The sequence below is a fragment of the Homo sapiens genome, chromosome 10, assembly GCF_000001405.40.
Source record: "Homo sapiens chromosome 10, GRCh38.p14 Primary Assembly".
NCBI lineage: Eukaryota > Metazoa > Chordata > Mammalia > Primates > Hominidae > Homo > Homo sapiens.
Genome location: NC_000010.11, coordinates 45,188,790 through 45,215,960, shown reverse-complemented (window position 1 = coordinate 45,215,960; position 27,171 = coordinate 45,188,790). Strand labels below are relative to the sequence as shown.

The 27,171-nt window shown below is 38.4% G+C and overlaps 1 long non-coding RNA gene and 1 pseudogene across 1 annotated transcript in view; both read left to right on the top strand.

Moving 5' to 3' along the window:
* Positions 1-24,476, top strand: part of LOC105378283 (uncharacterized) — a 33,026-nt gene extending 8,550 nt beyond the window's left edge. Inside the window, exons 3-6 of the long non-coding RNA XR_001747443.2 lie at positions 187-304; positions 21,707-21,820; positions 21,983-22,172; positions 24,021-24,476. This is a non-coding gene — a long non-coding RNA (uncharacterized LOC105378283). The remainder of the gene's footprint in view (positions 1-186; positions 305-21,706; positions 21,821-21,982; positions 22,173-24,020) is intronic.
* On the top strand, positions 27,065-27,171 carry RNU6-1207P (RNA, U6 small nuclear 1207, pseudogene; annotated as a pseudogene).

Below are 27,171 nucleotides of genomic sequence, written 5' to 3'. Positions count from 1 at the left end.
AGGCTTTTTTTTTAAGAGCACTTTTTGATTTACAGAGAACTGGAGCAGGAAGTACAGATTCACATCTCTCCTCCATCTCCCCTTCCTAGTTTTCCATATTAACATCTTGCATTGGTGTGTTACATTTGCTATGATTGCTGAACCAATATTGATGCATTATTGTTTTTATTTTTATTTTTGAAACAGCGTCTCGCTCTGTCACCCAGGCTGGAGCGCAATGGTGCGATCTCGGCTCACTACAACTTCTGCCTCCCAGGTTCCAGTGATTCTCCTGCCTCAGCCTCCCAAGTAGCTGGGATTACAGGTATGCGCTATCACGCCCAGCTCATTTTTTTTTTTGATTTTTAGTAGAGACGGGGTTTCACCATGTTGGCCTGGCTGTTGATGCATTATTATTAACTAAAGTTTATAGCTAACATCAAGATTCACTCTATATAGTATAGTTTTATGGGTTTTGACAAATTAACATCATGTATTCACCATTACAGTATCATATGGAACAGTTTCACTGCCCTAAAAATCCTCTCAGCTCTACCTCTTCATCCCCTCTCCCTCATTATCTACCTCCTAAATCTCAGACAACCACTGAAATATTACAGTTTGCCTTTGTCTCTATAATTTTACCCTTTCCAGAATGTCATATAGTTGGAATCATACAGTATAAGGTCTTTACAGATTGGCTACTTTTGCTTAGCAATATGCATTTAAGATTCCTCCATGCCTTTTGTGGTTTGATAACTCATTTCTTTTTAGCAGTGAATAATACTCAGTTGTCTGGATGTACCACACTGTGCTTATCCATTCACCTGTTGGATGACATTTTGGCAGCTTTTAAATTTGGACAATTATGAATAAAGCTGTTGTAAACATTCTTGTGCAGATTTTGGGTGAATACCTAGGAATGTGATTACTGGATCATGTGATAAGACTATGTTTAGCTTTGGAAGAAACTATCAAACTGTCATCTCAAGTGGCTGTACTATTTTGCATTCTACCAATAAAGAATGAGATTTTCTGTTGTTCCACATCCTCACCAGCATTTGGTGGTGGTGGTGTTTTGGATTTTAGCCATTCTAGTGGGTATGCAGTAGTATCTCATTGTTTCCATTTGCAATTCCCTAGTGACTATATGATGCTGAGCATCTTTTCATATGCTTATTTGCCATATGTATATCTTCTCTGGTGAGATGTTCATTCAGATCTTTTATGTACTTTTTAATTGGGTTCTTTGTTGTTGAGTTTTAAGTCGTCTTTACATATTTTGGATACCAGTTCTTTATCAGGTATGTGTGTTGCGAATATTTTCTCCTTGTTTGAGTTGGTCTTTCTTTTCCCTAATGATATCTTTCACAGAGCAGAAATTTTTAAATATAATGAAGTCCCACTTATCAAGTTTTTCCTTCATAAGTTGTGCCTTTGGTATTGTATCTAAGAAGTCATTGCCAAATCTCAGGTCAACTAGATTTTCTCCTTTGTTATATCTAGAAATTTTGATAGCTTTGTGTTTTATATAATAGGTCTGTGATTTGAGTTTATTTTTGTGAAAGGTGTTAGGTCTTTGTCTAGATTGATTTTTGTGTGTGTTGATGTCCATCTGTTTCAGCATCATTTGTTGAAAAGACTCCTTTTCCCACTGAATTGCCTTTGCACTTCTGCTAAAGATTAGTTGATTGTATTAGTGTGGTCTATTTCTGGGCTATTTTATTCCAGTGATCTATTTGTCTATTGTTTCACCAATACCATACTCTAAGTTTTGAAGTTGGGCAGTGTCAATGCTGCAATTGTATTTTCTTCAATATTGCATTGGCTGTTCTGCCTTTCCATGTAAATTTTAGGATCAGTTTGTTGATATCCATAAACTTTCCGGTATTTTGACTGGAATTGATATGTAGATCAACTTGGGAAGAACTGACATTGTAACAATGTTGGGTCTTCCTATTCATGAACATGGGCTATCTCACAGTTTATTTAGGTCTTTGATTTGTTTCATACTAGTTTTGAAACTTTTCTCATATAGATCTTGTACATATTTTGTTAGCTATATATCTTACTATTTCATTTGTTTGGTGTTAATGTAAATGATATGTTTTTAATTTAAAATTCTAATTATATAGAAAAGCAGTTGTCTTTGTATATAACCTTGTATCCTGCAACCTTGCTGTAGTTGTTTATTAGTTTCAGTTCTTTTTTGTTGATGATTTGGGATTTTCTATGTAGACATCATATTATCTGTGGATAAAGACAGTTTTAATTCATCCTTCCCTATCTGCATACATTTTTCTGCTTTTTCTTACTGCATTAACTAAGACTTCCAATATGATTTTGGCTAAAAGTTGTGACAGGTGACATCCTTGCTTTGTTCCCAACCATAGTAGGAAAGAAACTAGTTCCTTACCATTAAGTATCGTATTAATTGTAGGTTTTTTGTAGATTTTTTTATTAAGTTGAGAAAATTTTCCTCTATTCCTAGTTGGCTAAGAGTTTTTATGGGTGTTGGATTTTGTCCAGTGCTTTTTCTGCATCTATAGATATAATCATATGGATTTTCTTCTTTCGCCTGTTTGAAGTGATGGATTGCTTTTATTTTTGAATTTGAACCACCTTTGCATACCTGGAGTAAGTTCCATTTGGTCATTGTGTATACTCTTAATACATTTTTGAATTAATTTCAAATGCTTTGTTGAGAATTTTTGTATCTATGTTCATGAGAGATGTTCCTCTGTAGTTTCTCCTTTTTGTAATGTCTTTGACTTAATGCTGACCTCATAGAATGAGTTAGGAATTGTTCTCTCTGCTTCTGTTTTCTGAAAGGCATTGTAGAGAATTGGTATAGTTTCTTCCTTAAATGTTTGATAGAATTCATGAGTAAACCTATCTGGGCATGGTGCTTTCTATTTTAGAAGGTTATTAATATTTCTGATTCAATTTATTTAATAGACGTAGGCCTACTAAAAGGATCTATTTCTCCCTGTGTGAGTTTTGGTAGATTATGCCTTTCCAGCAGTTGGTCCATTTTATCTAAGTTATAACATTTTTGGACATAGAGTTGTTCATAATGTTACTTTATTATCCCTTTAACATCCATGAAATCAGTAGTAATGGCCCTTCTTTCATTTCTGTTGTTAGTAATTAGTTCTTTTTTTTTTTTTTTTGGCTAGCCTCCCTAGAGGATTACCAGTTTTACTGATCTTTTCCAAAAACCAGATTTTGGACTCAGACATTTTCTCTATTGATTTCCCCTTTTAAGTATCATTGATTTCTGCCCTAATATTTATTAATTTTTTTTCTGTTTACTTGTAGTTCAATTCATTCTCATTTTTCTTGTTTCCTAGGGTAGAAGTTTGGATTATTGATTTTATAAGGTTGGTGCAGAAGTAATTGCCGTTTAGCCATTACTTTTGCACCAACCTAATAGAACTTTCTTGTTTTGTAATACATGCATTTAATGCTATAAATTTCCTTTACCATTGATTTTGCTGCACTTCACAATTTTTTCTTTTTTTTTTTGAGTCGGAGTCTCCCTCTGTCGCCCAGGCTGGAGTCCAGTGGCGTGATCTCCGCTTACTGCAAGCTCCGCCTGCCGGGTTCATGCCATTCTCCTGCCTCAGCCTCCCAGGTAGCTGGGACTACAGGCGCCCGCCACCATGCCCAGCTAATTTTTTGTATTTTTAGTAGAGATGGGGTTTCACTGTGTTAGCCAGGATGGTCTTGATCTCCTGACCTCGCGATCTGCCTGCCTTGGCCTCCTAAAGTGCTAGGATTACAGGCTTGAGCCACTGCGCCCAGCCCCTGCACTTCACAAATTCTGATAAGTAGTATATTCATTTAATTAAAATATTTTAAAAAATTTTTTGAGATTTCTTTGACGTGTTATTTAGAAATACATTGTTAATGACCAGATGTTTTGGGATTTTTCAGCTATCTTTCTGTTTGATTTCTAGTTTAATTCCAGTGTGGACTGAGAGCTTATATAATTTCTATTCTCTTTAAGGGGTGTTTTATGGCCCAGAATGTGGTCTATGTTGATGAATGTTCTGTGCAAGCTTCAGAAGAATGTGTTTTTTTGTGTTGGATGGAGTAGTCTATAGATGCCAGTTATATCCAGTTGATTGATGGTGGTGTTGTGTTTTTAACTCTGCCCTTACTGATTTTCTGCCTGCTGGATCTGTCAGTTACTAACAGAATGGAGTGTTGAAGTCTCCAAGTATAATAGTGGGTTTGTTTCTTTCTCTTTGCATTTCTGTAAGCTTTTGTCTTGCTATTTTGACACTGTTGTTGGATGCATACACATTAAGGATTACTGTGTCTTCTTGGAAAGTTTACCTTTTAATCATTATATAATATCCCCTTTTATTTCTGATAATCTTCCTTGCTTTGAAGTCAGCTTTGTCTGAAATTAACATGACTACTCCAGCTTTCTTTTGCTTAGTGTTCAGTGTCATGTATCTTTCTCCATCCCTTTACTTTTAATTTGTTTCTATATTTTATATTTAAAGTGGATATCTCATAGATAACATATCGTTAGATCCTGTTTTTTTTCTTTTAGAAAAATCCACCCTGATAGTCTTTTATAGTCTTTTAATTGATATGTTTGGTTATCAACATATAATGTGATCATTGATATTGCTTAGATTAATACCTACATAATAAGTGTTTTCTATTCTTGCCCTTGTTCTTTTTTTTTTTGTCTTCTGCTCTTTTTCTGCTTTCCATGGCTTTAATTGAGCATGTTGTATGATTTCATTTTCTCTACTCAAAACATATTCCATTTTCTCTCCTCTCAGCAAACTTACATGTAAAAATGTATGTATGTATTTATTTATTTATATATATTTTTGAGACAGCGTCTCGCTCTGTCACCCAGGCTGGAGTGCAGTGGTGTGATCTCAGCTCACTGCAAGCTCCGCCTCCCAGGTTCACACCATTCTCCTGCCTCAACCTCCTGAGTAGCTGGGACTACAGGCGCCCACCATGATGCGTGGCTAATTTTTTTTGTATTTTTAGTAGAGACGGGGTTTCACCGTATTAGCCAGGATGGTCTCGATCTCCTGACCTCGTGATCCACCCATCTTGGCCTCCCAAAGTGCTGGGATTACAGGCGTGAACCACTGCGCCCAGCCAAAAATTTATTTTTTTTAGAAGGAGGATAAGGCAAGGAATAAAAACTTCTTAATGATAGCCCTAGAGTTTGCAATATACATTTACAATGAATGTCAACTCACTTTTAAATAACACTGTGCCACTTCAGAGCCAGTGCAGATGCCTTAAAATCAAACATTTCCAGTTCCTTCCTGTTGTCCTTTATAGAACTGCTAACATTCATTTCACTTATCCGTAAACTATAATCAACCAACACATTGCTGCTGTTACTATTTTGAACAATCTGTTATCTGTTAGATTAAGAATAAGAACAATACACCATTTTATATTACTTTTATTCATTCTTTAACACTCTTCCTTTATGTAGACACTATTTTCTGCTGTATTGTTTTTATTCTCTGTGACGAGCTTGTTTTTAGCACATTTTATGTCTCTTCAATTTTTATTTTGGTGAGAAAGTATTTCTTTATATTTGATAGATAATTTCATTGAATACAGGATTCTAGATTGGAGGGTGTTTTTCCCTTCAGCACTTTATATTTTACCCCATTGCTGGCATGGTTTCTTAAGAAAAATCCAATGTGATTTTTATTCTGGTTTCTTTATAGGTAAGGTTTTTTTTTTGTTGTTGTTTTGTTTTTTTCCTCTGACTTCCTTCAATATTTTGTCTTTGTCTTTGACTTTCTACAGTTTGAATGTCATATGTGTAGGTGTAGATTTTTTGGTAATTATCCTTTTTTGTGTTCCCTGAGCTTCTTGGATATGTGGTTTGGTCTCTGTCATTAATTTTGGAATATTCTGAGTTATTTAAATATTTTTTTCTGTTCTTTCTCTCGTTATATTCCCTTTATGTGCATGTTATGCCTTTTGTAATTTTCCCATTTTCTTAGATATTCTGTTTCACTTTTCCACTCTTCTTTTTTCTCTTTGCTTTTCAGTTCAGGAAGTTTCTGTTGACATGTCTTCACGATCACTGATTCTTTCCTTGGCTGTATCCATTCTACTAATGAGCCAGTCAGAGGCTCTCTTTATTTCTGTTACAGTGTTTGTAATCTCTAGTATTTCAGTTCTCTCTTAGGGCTTTTGTCTTTGCTGACATTACCCATCTTTTCTTGCATTTTGTCTACCTTTTCTATTAGAGCTCTTAGCATATCAATCATAGTAATTTTAAAGTACCAGTCAGATAACTTTAAAATATCTGCTATATCCAAGTGTACTTCTTTTGCTTTATTTCTCTCTTCAGCCTGTATTTTTTTCTTTTTAGAGTAGCTTGTAATTTTGTTGTAAGCCAGACATGATGCATTGGGTAAAATGAACTGAGGTAAACAGGCTTTTAGTGTGAGTTCTCACATTTTTGTAGCTGTGGGTGTCAGAGGGTAACATTTTCTCTTTTGTCTTCCTTGTTTTTTCCTCCCCTTTTGTCTTAGAGTTTCCCTGTTGAATCCTTAAATACTGTGTGAGCATTGAAGTTCTGCCATAATTCCATGTTATTTTATAGGAGCCCTTCTGACAAGACAGGATCGGGAAAAGGGAAATGCTCTGTAATCCTGTGCTTAGATCTCTGTCCTTTAGTGAGCCTTGGCTGTGACCTTCACAGCTGTTTCTCAGCTTCCCTGCATGTCCCCCAAGTGAGACAGGAAGGTGTGAGCGGGCTGGAGTTGGGTATTTCCATTACTTCCTATTGGTCAGGCTCTGGTAAAACCCAGGTAGCCTAGGCTCTGCTAAAATCATTTCTCCTTTGTTAAGGAGAGCAGAATACTTTGGCCTTATTTCACAGTGGTTGCTCTTCTCCCCTTCCATGAAGCACAAAGGGATTTTTTTTTCCTATCTAATTTTTTCACCCTGAGAAACCGATAGGGCTCTTGGAGGTAAAACTCAGCAAAGTACAGGAGACCCCTTAAGACCAGGCTCCCAGAAGTTGTTTTTTGTTGTTGTTTTTAATCTCTCAAACTAGTCTACCACTCAGTCTCTGGCAATTAGGCAGTTATCCTTGAAGCATCCTTACCAGTTGCTGGCTCCAGCAGGTATTTCTGCTCCTAGTATGCTGTGATTCTCTGTGTTTGCCTGTCTCTAGTTTTCAGTATGGTGGCTTGCCCTGTGACCTCAATTTTCTGATGAATCTACGGAATAGTTTTTTGTTTTGTTTGCTCAGCCTTTTTCTTACTGTGAGCATGGTAGTGACAACTTCCAGACTCTATTTGCTAACCAGAAATGCGATACATCTCTAATCTGTTTTTAACTGTGGAAATATGGCTCCCTGCTCCTTGGAACTCGAACTGTATCTAGATTTTCAGCACATATAGCCATTTCCTATGATACTTTCTCTCCTTTAGCCCTCACGTAGTCTTAGTTCTACAGGCACCTCTATCTTTTATGCACATCAAGAGTCCTTAGGTCAGTGTATCTCTATTTATTTTGATTGTCTGAAGCTTGTACTCTGAAATATTCCTCAGAAAGGTATCAAGAGAATAATATTCCCAGTTTTTCCTGTGGATAGTACATAAAAATTTGTGTTCTTTTTACATGAAAATCAATTTTACAGGTATACAGACTCAAAGTTTCTTTTCTGGAGTGTTGTCGATGTGTTACTTTATTGCTTCTGGCATAAATTGTCTGAAAGCCTGTTGATACAATTTTATGTCCTGTAATTTTACTGGAGTATGACTTGGTGTAGGGTATAGGTCATTCTGGTCTGATTATTTCCCAGGTATGTAGTATGTTCTTTAAATTTGTAGTTTGAAAATTGTATTAGTCCATTTTCACACTGCTATAAAGAACTGCTCAAGACTGGGTAATTTATGAAGGAAAGAGGTTTAATTGACTCACAGTTCAGCATGGCTGGGGAGGCCTCAGGAAACTTAAAATCATGGCAGAAGGGGAATCAAGGCACCTTTTTCACAAGGCAGCAGGAAGGAGAAGTGCTGAGCAAAGGGGGAAGAGCCCCTTATAAAACCATCCTGTCTCATGAGAGCTCACTAACAGGAGTTATTATTTCTTGAATTTCCTATTTTTCCCAGGATGTCTTTATTATTTTCTTACCGTCCTGTCTATGTTTAGTCACATGGCCCTTTGAGGTGACTTGTCTGCAAAATGAGGAATTCATCACTGTTCTTTTGTCAAGGTAGAGGGAGTTATGTAATTCCATAAACTGTTCATATCTGATGACAGAAATCAAAAAAGAACTGAACAGATGGAGGAGTTATATACATGAATAGAAAAACTCAGTATCATCAGGATGCCAGTTCTCCCCAATGTGTAGATTCAAAGCACTTCTAATCAAAATGGAAGCAAATTATTTTATGGATATAGAAAAGTGAATTCTAAAGCTTATATGGAGAAGAAAAAGACCTTGAATAGCTAACACGATATTGAAGGAGAACAAAGTTGGAGGAAAGACAGGCACTACTCAACTTCAAGAATTACTGTAAAGCTATGGTAATCAAGGCTGTATCATGTTGATGAAAGAAGAGACAGTTTAGTGAAACAAGACAGTTTAGAAATAGAGACATATCAATGTATTTAATCTTTGATGAAAAAGTAAAGGCAACATGATGAAACAAAAATTGGTTTGTTCAGAAAGTGCTGCTGGAACAACTGAATATCTACATGTAAAAAAAAAAATGAATCAGATCTTACCCCCTCACCAAAGTTAAAATGAATCACAGACGTAAATGTCAAATAGACAACTGCAAAACTTCTGGAAAGTAACGGGAGAAAATCTAGACTCTCTTGGGTTTGATGATCTCTAGAGAAAAACGCAAAAGTTACAATACATAAAAGAAATAATATGACAAGCTGGACTTGATTTAAATGCCACATTTTTGTTCTCTTAAAGCCATTGAAAGAGAAGACAAGCCACAGACTGGAAGAAAATATTTGAAAAACATATTTGATTAATGAATTTTATCCAAATTATACCAATCTTATTAAAACTAAACAAACAACCCAATTAAAAAATGAACTAAAGAGTGTAACAGGCATTTCGCCAAATAAAATATAAGCATATGTAATGACGTTCCACATAATATTTTCTTAAATGCAGTAATGAGCTACTACTGCACATCTATGGGAATGACCAAAAGCAAGAACATGGTCACCCACTCTAATCACATGGTCCCTATCACATAATTAGAGGGCGCTGGGGGCTTTAACTCTACAAGTTGATGTGTAAAGAATTCGACTTAGATATGATATAGTGACTAGAATTCTTTTATGTATGTGTGTATGTATGTATGTATGTATGTATTTATTTGTTTTGAAAGAGATTCTCTGTTGCCCAGGCTTGGAGTACAGGGGCATAAATAACCAAACAATAAGCAAAATCCAGAAGAATGAAGACGTCAAATGCTGTCAAGGATGTGGAGCAAAAGGACCTCTCGCCACTTGTTTGTGGCACAATCACAGTTTACTGTACCCACGAACTCCCAGGCCCCAGTGATCCTCCCACAATCAATCTCCCAAGTAGCTGGGGCCACAGGCATGCACCACCATGCCTGGCTGATTTGCTTTATTTTTGTAGAGATGAAGTCTCCCTGTGTTGTCTAATCTGGTCTGAAACTCCTGGGATCAAGTGATCCTCTTATCTTGGTCTCCCAAAGCGCTGGAAGTACAGGCATGAGGCACTGCACCCAGCCTGCAAGTCTTTAAGCAGGATGAGTTCAATCTAACTTTTTCTCCATCTGCTCTACTCAGCTAAGTCTCCTTCTCAGCCCGAGGGAGAGAACCGCAGCTCAGCCCTATCCAGGATGGGGGCAGATTACCCAGCACCACCGCCATACTCCAGATGCGGGTCAACGAGGAAGGGACCCTGAGGCCTGGCAGCAGGTGCAGTCAACAACCTTGAAGCCGTCCAAACGGGACCCGCCATCCGTGCCTGTCTGAGTTGTAGGGGCTGCCTGCATTTGGCGCACAGGCAAAATGGCCAAGCAACCTCAAACTCCCCACTTCCCCTCTGGGCCCAGGCAGCGCGGACTAGAGACAGGTGCCGCTGCTGCACAGAAATCTGTGGATCAACTCTATGTCTGCACCAGGGCAGGAACCGGCTCCTCAGCCCCATCCTGGCGGCTGCACAGTGCCCAGACCCCTCAACCCAGTGCCCTGGGCGCGAGCCAAGGAAGAGCAGGGCTTAGAGAGGGAGGGTGTGTTCCACACGGCGACCCTCTGGCCTTCTGGGTCCAGCCCTGCAGCCACCACCGTGGGCTCAGCTGCAGCTGGCATTTGAAGGTGGCAGCAGCGGTGCCAACCCTAGAACCTGTCCGTGCCACCAGCTGCGGTGAACCCTAGGGTCGGACGCCGCCACTGCGCCTAAGTCAGGCTTTGGGCCCTGGGCTGCAGGAGGGCGGGAACCTGCAGCAAAGCCTCATCCCTGCAGCTGTACAGGGCCCAGAGGTCGCGAGCCTGAGCTGCCAGCATTGGCAAAGGTAGAGCAGATCCCAGGGTGAAAGGCTCATGCACTCGACGGCCCTTAGCTGTCTGGGCCCAACCCTGCAGCCTCCAGTGTGGACTTATCTGTAGCTGCTGCCTGAACATGGCACGCGGCAGCAGGGGCTGCATCCCTGACCCTGCCAATACCACCAGCAGTGCGGATCCTTGGCCAGAAGCCTCCAGGGCGCCCAAGTCACTGGATGGGTTCCCAGCTGCAGGAGGGAGGGAACTGACTGTCAGCGTCATCCAGGATCCTGCAGGGTGCCCAGCTCCAGGGCCCAGCTCCTGGATCGCGGGTCCAGGAAGAGCCGGGGTGGCTCTGTCAAGCGTGCGGTGTGGAAGGGCGCCCCTCACTTTCAAATTATACTAGAGAACCTTCAGAAACCTTTTTTTTTTCTTTTTCTGATATGGAGTCTTGCACTGTTGCCCAGCCTGCCAAGCTGGAGTGCAATGGCGTGATCTCGGCTCACCACAACCTCTGCCTCCCCGGTTCACGGGATTCTCCTGCCTCAGCCTCCTGAGTAGCTTGGAATACAGGCGCACACCACCACACATGGCTAACTTTTTGTATTTTTAGTAGAGACGGGGTTTTACTATGTTGACCAGAGTGTTCTCCAACTCCTGACCTCATACTCTACCAGCCTCTGCCTCCCAAATTGTTGGGATTACAGGCTTGAGCCACAGCGCCCAGAAAACAAATTTTATGGCTTCATACATCAAAATTCAACAATGATGAACAGTGAGAATGACATACAATTAATTTAGGAACACTTACGGATTGATTTATGGTCTTGGACATCCATTATTTCTCCAAAAGTTAAGCTCACGACTCAGTAATTATTTCCTTTTTCATGCGTGGATTTGGTCCTGGTCAGTTTGTGACCCAGAAATTTTTTTTTTCAAGAAAAGAGCACGTATTCTGTCTATTGATCCACAGACAATAGACTCTGCTTACAGATTGAAATATAAACTACTCACCTGATTTCTTTCTGCTGCTGGGACAATGGGCTCAGGTTTATGTTCACAACAGCCATTGAGCGCATAGACGCTGGGATAGGGGCTTGTGATCCTATGAGTTTACTTCCCCAGAGAACTACAATTGTCATCTCACCTGTAGATAAAAGGACAGTACATATTTGATGAGTTATAGTGATTTTTGAATAACTTTGTCTTAGTTTCCAATTACCAAAAAAATGACAACGTTATACCCAAGCACCTTCAAAGACATGAAAATGGGAGAGGCTCTGTTTTTCCGTAATCCCTGGAGGCAGACAGGGGCTCACATGGAGAGAACTGGAAATGCTGAGTCTGAGACATGAAAGACTGACAGCAAAGCACATGTGTCTTACCAGATTCCGTGCTTCCCTGAGATCTGCCTCTGCTGAAAATCTGATTTTCAGTTAACCCCGAAATTCCTGAGCCGAAGTATTAGTGAATTGTAAACAGATGGGACCACACAAAGAGCTTGAAAAGGAGGTGTCAACAGGTTTCCGTGCAGAGAAGAATTTAAAGTCATATATTAAAATGAAAAACAGGAACAAAATTGTGTGATTCAATGCAAATGAGTATTAAAATGTGGCTCATATATAGTCTAGGAATATATAGTTTAAGGTCATTTACCTCATAGAGATAGAGGTGCTAAATTAAGTAGTATTCATAGAAGAAACGGAACGTTTATTTAAGATTAGTTTTGCACAAAAGAAAGCACCATATTTATATTGTCCAGAAGAAAATTTTACTCATGAACTAATTAATATACCAATACTGCTTAAACTATTTAAAAGTTATAAGGTAACCAACATTCCCAATAGTTTTTAGAAAGGATATATAAAAGTGATACAACTTTACTTGTTTGATGCTGTATAGAATATTATAGATAATAAGAACATATTATATGAAAGTAAAATTTTTAAATGTTAAAAAGCATTGTGTCAACCCATTAAAATATTAGATCATTAGGAATTCCATTTATGCCTGAAATGCAAGTGAGAGTCATCGAATTAGGAAATTCATTAACACAATAAATTATGTTAATTGAATTAATGAGACTGTCTTGTGTTCATGTTCATAGATGGAAAACAGATAATGCCAAAATTTCCTGAACAATTATTTTAAATCAATTTGTATGGAATTGTTGCAAAATATTTCTTGAAAACATCAAAATAGATTTGTATAAATGAAAATTATGACATTACATGATTAGGCAGGGTCAACATTATTAAGACATCAAAGGTACTTTAATTAATAAGCTGATTTTTTGGTTGCATAGTATTCCATGGTGTATATGTACCTTTGCAAGGACATGGATGAAGGTGGAGACCAGTATCCTTAGTAAAGGAATGCATTAACAGAAAACCATCTATGGCATGTTCTCACATATAAGTGGGAACTAGATGATGAGAACACATGGGCACATAGAGGGAAACAACACATACTGGGGTCTACTGGAGGGTGGAAGGTGGGGAGAAAGAGAGGATCAGGAAAAATAACTAATGGACACTTGGCTTAATATCTGGGTGGTGAAATAATCTGTGCAACAACCCTTACCCCTGACAGACATTTACCTATGTAACAAACCTGCACATCCTGCACATGTACCCCTAAGGTTAAAATAAAATTTAAATAAATAACGAAAATTAAATAAGTTGAGTTTAACTCCAATGTAGATACCATCTGTGTTCTGAATATAGAAATTTTATTGTATAGAAGAGCAAACAAAATATCCATGAAAAGTCTGAAAATTGAGAGAGTGACTTCCCCTGTAAAATATTGTAGAGACTTGGAAATTAAAATTGTGTCATATTGTTTCATCATTAGTCTGAGAGACCAATGGAATACAACATTCAAAAATGGAATAAAACATATATGAAAATATACTGTGCAATAAAAGCAGGAGTGTAGAAAGAAGAGATGAACAGCTTGCCGAGTCTCATTGGGCACTGAAGCTCACAGATAGGCAGCAGGCTTTGTCTCTCACCACGTGTGCTTTCTGTAAGTCTGGTATTGCCACGTGTGCAGGAAGAACATTTAATATTTGAGCAAGAGGATTTTGGGGCGAATATCTGATTAAAGTGAATTTTTCTTCCTCAATATTTATTGTAACCTGTTCTCATAGCCCACAGTATGTTTCCTGCTGGGTTGAGATGTTACTGCCTTTAATAAAGCTTTATTACCTGCAACTGTCCCCCTCTGTATGTTTGGGAACCTTGAGAACAGTCACACATAATTGTGGTAATTCTTTAGTTGGTCACTTGCCTGGTGAAACACTATCTGGGGGGGCTCCTTTCCACACTGGTCACACAGGGCAAAAGCTTGTGAAGAGTTCTGGGATAGAACACTGCATGGGGCCACTGAGATGGGTCACTTCAAGGTACAGTGCTCTTAACCTATACCTTAAACTGAGGCAGACAGAAAGTTCCACATGGCGTCAGAAAAAGAAAAATAAAAAAACAAGTTTGAAATGTTGAATCATCTTTGGTTGTTAAAAACACTATCTTCTTCAGAGGATGTGCTGAAATAAAAACTAACAGATGATCTTTGCCTGAAATATATAAATATTTGTTAACAAATGCTGGCGAGGCTGCAGACAATAGAAAACTCCTATTCACTGTCACTGGGAATGTAAATCAGGTTAGCCACTATGGAAAGCAGTTTGGAGATTCCTCAAAAAATGTAATATAGAGCTACTAATTGAACTATCAACCTCATTACTGGGTATATACCGAAAGAAAATACAACACTGTACCAAAAAGACACATGCAAACCTGCACACGCAGCACCTCTAATATAAAAGTTGACATTATTTTAAAAAGTGTTTATTTGCGAAAATATTTCACCCATGGTAGGGATAAAGAACTACATTCTCGCTAAGGTCAAGAGGCACACACCCGAAGGTAGCCCTGGGGGCAGGGCCGGGAAAGCCAGGAGCACCAGCATCCTCGGCTACACCAGCAGGTATTGGCTGAAGCAACAGGTGCACTGGGGATATGGAAAGGAGTTACTTAGACACAGTTGCTGATTCATGAATTTCCTATGTTTCCCAGGATCTCTTTATCATTTTCTTACCCACATGTCTATGTTTAGACACATGGCTCTCACAGGTGACTTGTTGGCTGCAGAATGAGGAATTCATCACTGTTCTTTGGTCAAGGTAGAGGAAGTTATGTAATTTCATAAACTGTCCGTATCTGATGACAGAAATCAAAAAAGAACTGAACAGATGGAGAAGATACATTATATTAATGAATAGAAAAACTCAATATTGTCAAGATGTCAGCTCTTCCCAATGTACGGATTCAATGCACTTCTACTCAACATGGAAGTAAATTATTTTATAGATATAGAAAAGCTAATTCTAAAGCTTATATGGAGAAGAAAAAGACCTTGAATAGCTAACACAATATTGAAGGAGAGAACAAAGTTGGAGGAAAGACAGGCACTACCCAACTTCAAGACTTAACTGTAAAGCTATGGTAATCAAGGCTGTATCATGTTGATGAAAGAATAGACAGATTAATGAAACAAGACAGTTTAGAAATAGAGACAAATCAATATATTTAATCTTTGATGGAAAAGTAAAGGCAATATGATGAAACAAAGATTGGTTTCTTCTGAAATTGGTGCTGGAACAACTGAATATCCACAAGTGAAAAAAAATCAGATCTTACCCCCTCACCAAAATTAACTCAAAATGAATCACAGACATAAATGTCGAATACAAAACTATAAAACTTCTGGAAAATAACAGGAGAAAATCTAGACTCTCTTGGGTTTGATGATCTCTAGAAAAACGCCAAAGTTACAGTACCTAAAAGAAATAATATGATAAGTTGGACTTGATTAAAATGTCACTTTTTTGTGTGTGTGAAAGCCATTGAAAGGGAAGACAAGCCACAGACTGGAAGAAAATATTTGCAAAACATATTTGAATAATGAATTTTCTCCAAAATTTACCAATATTCTTAAAATTGAATAATAATAAACAAACAACCCAATTAAAAAGTGAACTAAAGACTGTAACAGGCATCTCACCAAATAAAATATACAAATAAAAAATAAGCATATGTAATGATGGGCCACATAATATTTCCTTAGGGAAATGCAGTAATGAACTACCACTGCATACCTATTGGAATGACCAAAAGCAAGAACGTGGTCACCCACTTTAATCACATGGTCCCTATCACATAATTAGAGGGTGCTGGGAGTTTCAACTCTGCAAGCTTCGTGTGTAAAGAATTCAACATAGATATGATACAGTGACTAGAAGTTATTTATTTATTTATTTAGAGAGCGAGTCTGTGTTGCCTAGGCTTAAAATGCAGGGGCAGAAATAACCAAATAATAACGGAAATCCAGAAGACTGCAAATGTCAAATCTGTCTAGGATGTGGAGCAACAAGGCCTCTCATTGCTTGTTTGTGACACAATCACAGATCACTGTACCCACAAACCTCCGGAACCAAGTGATCCTCCCACAATCAATCTCCCAAGTAGCTGGGGTCACAGGCATGTACCACCATGCCTGGCTGATTCGTTTTATTTTTGTAGAGATGAAGTCTCCCTGTGTTGTCTAATCTGGTCTGAAACTCCCAGGATCAAGTGATCCTCTTATCTCAGTCTCCCAAAGCGCTGGAAGTACAGGCATGAGGCACTGCACCCAGCCTGCAAGTCTTTAAGCAGGATGAGTTCAATCTAACTTTTTCTCCATCTGCTCTACTCAACTAAGTCTCCCTTTCAGCCCAAGGGAGAGAACCGCAGCTCAGCCACATCCAGGATGACTGCAGATTACCCAGCGCCACCGCCATATTCCAGATGCGGGTGAACGAGGAAGGGACTCTGGGGCCGAGCAGGGGGCACACTCAGCAACCTGAAGCCGTCAAACGGACCCGCCATCCGTGCCGCTGTCTGAGCTTTAGCCTCTACCTGCACTTGGGGAACAGGCAAATATGGCCGAGCAACCCTAAACTTCCTTCTTCTCCATGGGCCCAGTCAGCGCGGACCAGGGACAGATGCTGCTACAGCGTTGATGTCAGTCGGTCCGCCCCATATCTGCACCAGGACAGGAACCCGCCGCTCTGCCCCATCCTGGCGTCTGCAGTGTCCAGAGCCCGCAACCCAGTGCTCTGGGCGCGAGCCAAGGAAGTGCAGGGCCTGGAGAGGGAGGGCGTGTGCCACACGGCGACCCTCAGGCCCTCTGGGCCCAGCCGTGCAGCCTCCGCCTTGGGCTCAGCTGCAGCTGGTATTCGAACGTGGCAGCAGCAGTGGCAACCCCAGAACCTGTCCTTGTCACCAGCAGCGGCACACCCTAGGGTCGGACGGCGTCACTGCGCCTAAGTCAGGCGGTGGGACGTCAGCTGCAGGAGGGCGGGAATCTGCCTCAGTGCCTCATCTCGGCAGCTGTACGGGGCTCAGAGGTCGTGAGCCTGAGCTGCCAGCGCCGGCCAAGAAAGAGCAGAGCCCAGGGTGGTAGGGCGGTTCACTCGACGACCCTCAGCGGTCTGGGCCCAGCCCTGCAGCCTCCACCGTGGACTCAGGTGCAGCTCTCATCTGAACATGGCACGCGGCAGCAGGGGCTCCAACCCGGACCCTGTCAGCGCCACCAGCAGCGCGGATCCCTGGGCCAGAAGCGTCCAGGGATTCTAAGTCAGGGGTGGGTCCCCAGCTGCAGGAGGGCGGGAACCGCCACTCAGCGCCATCGAGGAGGCTGCACGGTGCCCAGCGCCAGGGCCCAGCTCCTGGATCGCGGGTCGAGGAGGGGCCAGGGGCGGCTATGTCAAGCGGACCGTGTGGCAGGGTGTCTCCCACGTTCTGCTCCAGGGAGGCCAGCCCGACAGCGCCTCAGCGGCAGGTGCCACCTGCATGCGGTGCCCGGGGGAGGGCGGCCAGGGCGCGTGTCTCCTCAGCCTGCTGAGCTGCGCATGCACTGCTGCCTAATGGCTTTGCTCAGCGAATTTCTCCCAGGAGAAGCCGTAGTGTCCAAGAGCTTGGCCAGACAGCAAGTTTTACTGGTGTTGGAGCGGGTGTGGGGACTCAAGAAGGGCGAGGGCGAGCGGCGGGGGCTGGGGAAGGGCGAGCGGGAGGCACAGGCTCTCTCTAGGAGGTGGCCGCAGCCATGAAGAAGCTCTCTGCCGCAGCTGGCAAGGGCGTGAAGGGCCCGGAGCGCCGGAGCCCCTTCAGTCAGCTGGTCTATACCAACAAGGACTCTTGCGTGATCCACTATGGGGATCTCAGGAAGATCCACAAAGTTGTCTCCCTGGGCCAAGCCTGGAATCTGGAGGGGATAACCATGAGGAAGACCATCGACCTGAACAAAAGAGATGTGACGAAGAGATACCAGGCCCTGCCTGAGCCGGGGCTGCAGGAGGAGGAGGCGGCTGTAGGAGGATCGCCCCTTAAGAATGAGGTGCTGGGAGGCCTGGGGACGAGGGGAGCAGGTGGAGGAGTGGCGAGCGGTAGGTCGGCCGTCCTGGGCCCTGGGGTCTAGGCCTTCTTCCCGGGTAGGCCCCCCAGGCCTGGGATGGGGGCGTCCTGCAGGTCAGAGGGCCCAGGCCACCTTAAAATCAACCCCAAACTTTCGCTGCTTTCTCCTTCACTTCCACTTCCTCTCACAGAGCACTGTGTAGAAAATTTTAAAGTGATTTAACTCACAAAATTAAGTACATACAGGGTTTTACTTTTAATGTACAGGTTTTAAAAGATAATGTTAGATACATTATGAAATGGTGCATAATGAAATAATTCCTATAATATATGGACTTCTTGGCTAAAAGTTCTTTGGATGAAGTCCAATATCCATTTTGATATCAATGAATGTCTATGTAAATATGTTCTTTGCTGAGGGGTCTTAGAAAGGAAACTTTGAGGTGGGAAGATGGTTTATATTCTTGAATTTAAGAAGACTCATTTTTCTCAAGATGCGAGTTCTTTATCAGTTTTACATAAACCAAATAAAGTTATCAACGTTTTAACATTTTTTTAAAAAATTACACAGGCTGTCTTTTACTACTGTGATGACATTTTAAATATTTTGTAATTGAGTAGAAAAGTCTTGCCCTTCTAGATGTCAAAATGTGCTATCAATTTGCACAAGATGGGCCAGCAGCAGTGGCTCACGTCTGTAGTTCCAGCGCTTTGGGCGGCCGAGGCAGATGGATCACCTGAGGTCAGGGGTTTAAGACCAGCCTGGCCAATATGGTGAAACACCGTCTCTACAAAAATACAAAAATTAGCCGGGCATGATGTCGGGTGCCTGTAATCCCAGCTACTCGGGAGGCTGAGGCGGGAGAATTGCTTGAACCCGGTGGGCAGAGGTTGCAGTGAGCCGAGATCCCACCACTGCAATCCAGCCTAGGCGACAGAGTGAGACTCTGTCTCAAAAAATAAATAAATGAGATAAATAAAATCACAAACTGTTTGCTAACAGGTAAATGGATACAATAGAATAGAAAATCCAGAAACACCCAAATATATGTAAGAATTTAGATCTTGATAATGGTCACACTTTGTACTAGTAGGAAAATAACTAATTTCATAAGTGAAATGCCTGCTTTTTGGAGAAAACTAGATTTTTATGCCACAAAATTCCAAAGTTTTTAATATACAAAATGATAAAAATACCAGAAGAAAACAAAATGCCTGTTCACACAGATACATTTTTATGTTGACAAAACCTTTCTAAGAAGCTCAGAAGCAAGCATTCTGAAGGTTAATTTAGTAAAACAAAAATTAAATCACCGTGCACATGAGAAAAAATAAAAGGCAGCATACTTGTAAAATATTTACTACATATGTATATGCGTGTGTGTATACATATTAGATTTAAAAATCTTCATTTTATAGAGAATTCACTCAAATCAACAAAAAAACCCTCTAATTTAAAATTGGGCAACATAAATTAGAGGTCTAAATTGCAGATCTAAAAAAACTACTTGACCTCTAATTTAAAATTGGGCAAAGTCCTTTTTTAAGATCTGTAAGTGGCCTATGCACACAGGAAACAATATTTAGTGTTCCTGGTTAGAGAAGGCATTTAAGTTAAAAGAGGACTCAAATACTGTTTCCTGTCCACAAAGTTTGTGAGGATAAAAAGCAGTGATATTTATAGTGCTCCTTAAAGTTTAAGTTGCAGATGACTTTTCAATAGACAATTTGATGGTAAGTACCATATTTAAAAACTGTTTATGCCTGTTAGTGATCAATTCTATTATACTAAAATGTTTTTACAAAATAATGAAACATACACACAATTTCTTTTCTGAGCACTGCTTAAAATATCAATGTATTAAGAAGAATCGATATAATGGCTTTTATAAATACACTTCAGTGAGTTTACAGCATGGGATAATATGTGACCACTCAAGGTAGAAATATATACAGAAGTATGTTGACATTTGAAAATATATTTTGGTGTATCAAGTGAAGGTAAAGTTCAGTTTGATTACACATACAGACTATGGTCTTGTGTTATCTGAAATTATGTATGAAATATGATAAAATTTATTATTTGAGGGCATTTGTTTAAATTTAAATGTTTTTCCTTTTTATTATCTTTGATTTCTGCATTGAGCATGTACAATGCTGTTAGTAAAAGTTTGTTATTAATGAAATAATTTTTGAGAAGTGCAGGAATATGAATTTTTCACAGATAAAAATAATTTCTCATGTTCTATAATTTTTTTATGGATTAGTATATTCTGTGAACTTTTAGCATCTTCAGAAGAGAATCTTTTATCTGTGGTTATTGATTTACATATACATTTTATTAGACACATATATAGACTTATGTATGTGCCAATAATTATAGATTAATCATTTTAGTGTAATTATTAGAAAAATAAAATAGCAAATATAAGTGCTTTATTTATAGCAGTTTTTTAAGATATTGAACTTCCCAACTGTATTGATCCATTCTTTTAATCCATTTATCACATGTAAGCTGAATGCCTATTATGTAGAAGAGACATCCTATTAACTCTGAAGACCTTTTCATCCTTAAAAATTTCACATTTACCTGCTCAGCCTGAGGAAAGTGAGAGATTTAAAATTGGAGTATTAGGACTGAATCTCAGTTGAAGCTTTCCCTCTCATCTTTAAAACAAAAACAATTCTGAAGTGGGAAACTAGTAAGTGATAACTACCACCCACGATGTTGGACATTTATAACAGCTTTAAAGAGTAATATTAATCATTGGAAATATCTAATTTACATGGGTTCTATAAATTTAAATATGAATTTACATAGTCTGTAAATCTAAATACAGAATAAAATGAGCCATACCTATTTATTTGAATCCCAAGTTTTCTTTGGCTTGAAGTTTTTAAAATATTAAAGAAGTTATTAAATATTAATTTAATTTAATATTAAATATTAAACAGTTGTTTTTATTTCAACTCTCTTTTTGCGTAGTACTCTTAAAAGTTAAAATTTCTTTCAGTGTTAATCCTGCGACTGGGACTGCCATCGTCCTGTTGTATATACCGTATTCCACTTCTTGGAAGGCACTGTGAATTGTGTGATGCTTCCTTATTTTATGCACCAATAAAAGATTGTTTAAATTTCTGCTAAATATAGTTGTAATAAATAATGAATTATAAGTGGCATTTCAATGTCAGAAATGTTAAAATATGAGAAATTGAGCATCTTAGAATCATTAAAATACCGTGTTATCTCTAACCTTTAAAGCACACCACAAAACAGGCATAATTGCACCTTTTACTTAAAATGTTGCCTTTGTTAAGTAGTAGTCATAATTATATCTAACAACTACTGAGCTGTTACATGTGCTAAGAACTCTCCAAAATACTTTGCATAGATTCTCATTGAGGCATCACAGTGATGTCCTGTGAGATAACTGCTGTATTCATCTTCATTTTATTGATGAGAAAATCGAGGTGCAGAAAGTTTAAGTGACAGCTAGAAAGTGAAACTTCTTAAAGTAATATTCAAGCCCAAGTTGAACTGAATCCAAAGGCCAAACTCTTTCTATTCAAATAGGCCACTCTTTCATTAATGCAGTGAGTAATAAGAGTGAACAAATGTTGTACTTTCTTCAGGAGAATATTAAATATTTCTTTTGAAGGCAGAGAAAGAGCATGGTATTTAATGTTTACAATTACATAAATCGTTGTATGTTTTGAGACAGTGGACTATACTTTGCCTAAAAGTCCTCTCACTCTCGTAGGACTGCTCTACACTGGGCCTGTGTCAACGGCCATGCGGAAGTAGTAACATTTCTGGTAGACAGAAAGTGCCAGCTTGACGTCCTGATGGCGAAAACTGGACACCTCTGATGAAGGTAAATCGTAGCCAGTTTTTTCAGCAGGAGATGGATTTGGTTTAAATACATAGAATAAAAATGAATTTATCTCATTGAAATACAACTAGTTTGTGAAACCTGTGGAATATTTATTTTGATTTCCTATAATTTATAATTTACTTCTTGTTTTAATACTGACAGGCTCTACAATGCCAGAGGGAGGCTTGTGCAAATATTCTCACAGATTCTGGTGCCGATCTAAATATTGTAGATGTGTATGGCAACACGGCTCTCCATTATACTGTTTATAGTGAGAATTTGTCAATGGTGGCAAAACTGCTGTCCCATGGTGCAGTCATCAAAGTGCAAAACAAGGTGGACGTTAACCAAGGTTATTTTCAAAATATTTGAAATCCATTTGTTTTAACATTAACATATGTAAGGTTTTTTATATTTGGAAGCTCAAACATTCCTTGAATGAAAATGGTTTGAAAGAACTTAATTTTCTAAGATTTTACTTTAAATATTAATATTTTTACAAGAATTACCAGAGAGTGTGGCTTTTCTATGCATTTATGATAAATATTTGAATTTGTTAAAGGTAAAACTTTTTCAAATATTCTTTCCTACCCAAGTTTTTTTTCTTTCCAATTAGTGTGAAACTACAGGAAAGCAAAATTTGCCTGCATAAATTGAGTCAACATGTAAAATGTAGGAGACATGCAGAAATCTGGATTTCCTCTTAAAGGATTGAATCTGGTGTCTCTTGAGCCCATATGACTGTTTGGTATGCTATGAAGACGTTCTAACTTTACACAAAGCATATGTTTCCAGTTTGCTACTGTGCCCACCTAGTTACATCACTTCCTCAACTTACCTCTTTTGCCTCTGTAAATATTTCAGTTATCAATTCCTCTCTCATAGTATATTTTGGTAGAGATTTCAAGGTATTCAAGACAGTTGATAGCTGTTTATAATATATAGTTTATATTTTACATTAATTCATTAATAATGGGCTACTTCTAGAATTTAGATTTTTTAAACAATGATTTTTCTGTATATAAACCATAAATAATCATCTTCTATTAGAATGACTTTAAGCCTTTTTGTATTAATCATGGTTGTATTTGAATAGGTTGTGCATATTGTAGAAAATATTATATCCTTCTCCTCAGAATCGTCCCTTAAAATTCAAGTGATTTAGTGGCTTATATTATGCTAATCCACATAGATGAGTTAGAACTTTAATTAATAAGCCATTTTATTAATATTGTTGATATTTTGTCAAAAATTAAGTAGCAGCTAATAGAAATCAGAATAAAAATGGATTATTGCATTTTAAAAAGATATGCATTAGGATCCTAGGATGATTATTATAATTGAGAATAAAGTTTTATACTGAATTTCTAATAGCTGAGATAAAATTCTGTTGTCTTGTAATAGGAGAAACCCCATTATTATTTAATAATAAGCAATCAAAGTTCATTTGAAGCCAAACTCTTTTAATTTAGAGCCACTTCCTTAGTGACCCATTTAGAGCAGGTGTGCCTGACATTGGCATCTGGGATCTTGGGATTATTGGTAGAAGAGAATCAAGTGAGTTTGTATCACCCAGAGGAAACCTCCATTTTTCTTGCAAAGCTTTCAAAACTGTATCCCTGAAATTCTAATTTGTCAAATGTTAATGTCTGCCACAAAAATATATTGTCAAATAAGGATTAGGCAAAGTTCAAGTCATTTATTGAATAATGGACATTTAATTCACAGTTTTATAATATTTCTTCAACATAGATAATGGTGGAATCTGTTGGGGTACATTACTTCTGGTAAGGTAATTATCTTTTAGAATATAGTTTAAGAAACACTGCTCTAGAGGTAATAATTTAGATTACTAATTTAGTCAAAAACAAAATATTTACTACTATGTCTTAGGGTTTAAGGATATAGAGATAAAGGATACAGCCCTTGCCCTCAAGAAGCTCTTGGTTTAGAAGAGAAACCATAAAATCATTACAATATAATGATTTTTGGAGATAACCAGAGTTAATTTGGTGATGCAGAGGCTGAAACAAGGTAAGGTGCAGTGCATGAGAAAGCACAGAAAAGGGAGAAGGAAGGGATTGCTATTGATTGACTTTATATTTTATGTGTTTAAGTTCATAGGATATTATATAAAGTATTCAGTTCAGCTGAGAAATATGTAATTTCATGAATTATAAATCGTTTTACTGTTTTACAGGCTAGCCTCACACCACTTTTACTGGCCATAATGAAAAGACGTGAGCAAATTGTGGAATTTTTACAGACAAAAAAAATGCAAATGCAGTTAATAAGTTTAAATGGTATAGTAGTTCTTTTTTTTTATTAAAAAACACTTGAGTAGTGTTCTAGAGAAATAAGACTCAAGTCAGAAATATTAAATTAATATTTACTTAAAATTATTAGATTATAGTGAAACATATCAACACAAATTATCAGAAGTAAAGCAATTATTTGGACTGATCAACATAAAGAGCAGTATGTAGTAGGACTTCTCTTATTATATTGATTGATTCTTATGTGTAATCTGATGTTTTTGGTTGCATTATCTTCCATAAGCTAAAGTGGTTCTGTATTAGTTTTAAGAAGTATGATTTTTTAGTTTACTTTGTAATTCAATATTGAATGATTAACACTTTTATAGTATTTTTCTAACTTCCGTTTTTTTATACACTTTTAAAAAAATGCAATATTTGCTGGACACGGTAGCTGTTGCCTGTTATCCCAGCACTTCGGGAGGCCAAGGTGGTTGGATCACTTGAGGCCAGGAGTTTGAGACTAGCCTAGCCAACATGGTGAAACCCCATCTCTACTAAAAATACAAAAATTAGCCGGGAATGGTGGCACATGCCTGTAGTCCCAGCTACTTGGGGGGCTGAGGCACAAGAATCGCTTGAACCCGGGAGGCAGAGGTTGCAGTGAGCTGAGATCGTGCCACCACACTCTAGCCTGGGTAACAGAGTGAGATAGATTCTGTCTCATAGAAAAAGCAATATTAAATAGAAATAGGAGTTTAAAATCATTTTGTCTTTAGGATGATTGTTTGCTTTGTTTTCTTTGAAGAGTATTAATTTTAGGTTATCCCTACGTGACTATTAATTGCTATCACCAGATACTGTGAATTTATTATTTTTTTCTTTTTTATTCATAGTGTATTTTTATTTTTAATTTGTATGGGTAGAGGGAAGAAAGACATCTTTAATTGGATTAACATTTTAGTTAATTAAGATAAGCCATAGGTGAGTGATAAAGAGAAAAGAGATAGGCTTTTGATTCACACAATACTAAATTTAATTTCTAGCTTCCTCACTTGATAGGTGTGACCTTGCAAACATTAGTTAATACCAACTATGATTTTCTATATGAAAAGGAGAATAATAATATGTCCTTTAAGGACGATTGTGTTGAAGTAACATTATAAATATCAACAGCATTTAATTCAGTGTTTCATACATTCTTATCAGCATCATTAAGTAAACTTACTGTAACTACTACTAATATCATTATTCCTAATACTGTTTTAAGCCTTCAGATTGCTCTTATTTGTCTGACTTCTAGCTGATTTTGAAGTACAAAATATTATATCAGAGTAAGGAAGAAATAGATAATTCTTCACTTAAATCTTTGCCTCTTTTAGGTTAGTGAACAAAGCATAAGTCTTTGCCCCTCAAAGGACTTTATGTTAGCCAATTCTAGTATGCCATATTCCAGTGGGACATGAGTCTTTTTGCCCCTTCCTTTTAGCCTTGGTGGTGATTTACAAGGATAAACACTTGAGCACTCAAGATAGTTATGTTTGTTAGTACATGTAAATGGTTAATTCTACACTGACAGGCACATATTAAATTGGTTCTGTTCCTAACAATGAAGTTAACTCTTTGTTATTTTAGCACAGCCCTCATGCTTGCCATATGTCATGGAGCATGAGAGATAGTTGGCATGGTTCTTCAGCAAAATGTTGACATCTGTGCTGAAGATACATGTGGAATGACTGCAGAACGTTATGCTGTTGCTTGTGGACTTAATCGGTGTTTACATTTAAAGACTAGGTGAGATTTTATAGTTTGTTTCAGGTAATTTTTGAATGACAGTGAGTTAGTTCACTTCATCGGCCAGAAACTAGTCAAAAAGCTAGACTAGTTAGAAGGAATAATGGGTCCAGGATTCTTTATTTTAGGACTTTCAACAGCTTTATCCCTAGGGATCCTAATGTTGTGTACTTGATTTTAAGTATAACCCCTATGCATGGGATAAACATAGTGTCACAATTTTGATTTTTCTAATTAGTTATTTGGGTCTTGAAATGTCCACTTTACCAGAAAACCTGATAGTGTCCCCTGGGGGCTGTCTTCCATACCTTAATACTTGAATTTTTAAAAAGAATCTAACGGGTTCCTTAAGTACAAGGAAGAGATTCATTTTGTGTAAGTCAGAAGGATTGGGGGGGAAAATGGCCATTCTCTTCATTTTGTTGTTTCCATTGATTCTGTTGCTGCATCGTTGCCATTGAAACTGTTCCTGCAGTCTGGTAATGATTGACCTTTGTGACCAGGTGCCCTTACTAACACAGATTTTATGGTGATCCATATGTAGACTTCAAATTTATTACAGTTTTTTAAAGTTCACATATATATTCTCAGCCATTGTTTCCAAAGTACCAGCACCCTGCTCTGGCAGCTAGGACTTTTATCTTTTGCCACACACATAGTGAGCAAATTGACCCTTCTCCCACTCAAAACCTGATGTGAAACCCACATCTTGCCTGAACTTGGCCTAGACCTTCATAAGTTATCCTTTAAGTGACTTTTCTGTTTTCTCTAGCAAATATTAGTTGCGACAGTTTAAAACTGTAAGTCAGGTTGAAATAATGTTACAGGAAGGAATTAGAGTTCCATTTTTATTTTGTTACCAGATGTATATCCCTGGCACTTTATATCCCGTGTAGCACCATTTTGTAGGTAGTGGAAGGTCTCATCTTATTCTGTAAGATCCCATGTCATCTTTCCAAAGTTGTAGTGGGTTCCAACTTGTGGTTGTCCCCTCAAGTGATTCTTTTTTTCCCAAAAGTTAAAAATCTCCCGTGCTACTTGCATCTCTATCTCGAGTTTTTAAAATATTTTCAAATTCTGCATTACCATGAAGCCATTCAATAGACTTCACTCTATCTCAAGGAGGTTGCTTAGATTAAACAGAGCTAAGCCTCATCCATCACTGATGAGTCTTCACATATAAAAGTAGGGATTTGTGCTGGCTTCAGGGGTACATATACTAAAATTGAAACAATGTCGAGAAGATCAGCATGGTCCCTGCACAAGGATGACACAGAAATCTGTGAAGTGTTGCATATTTCT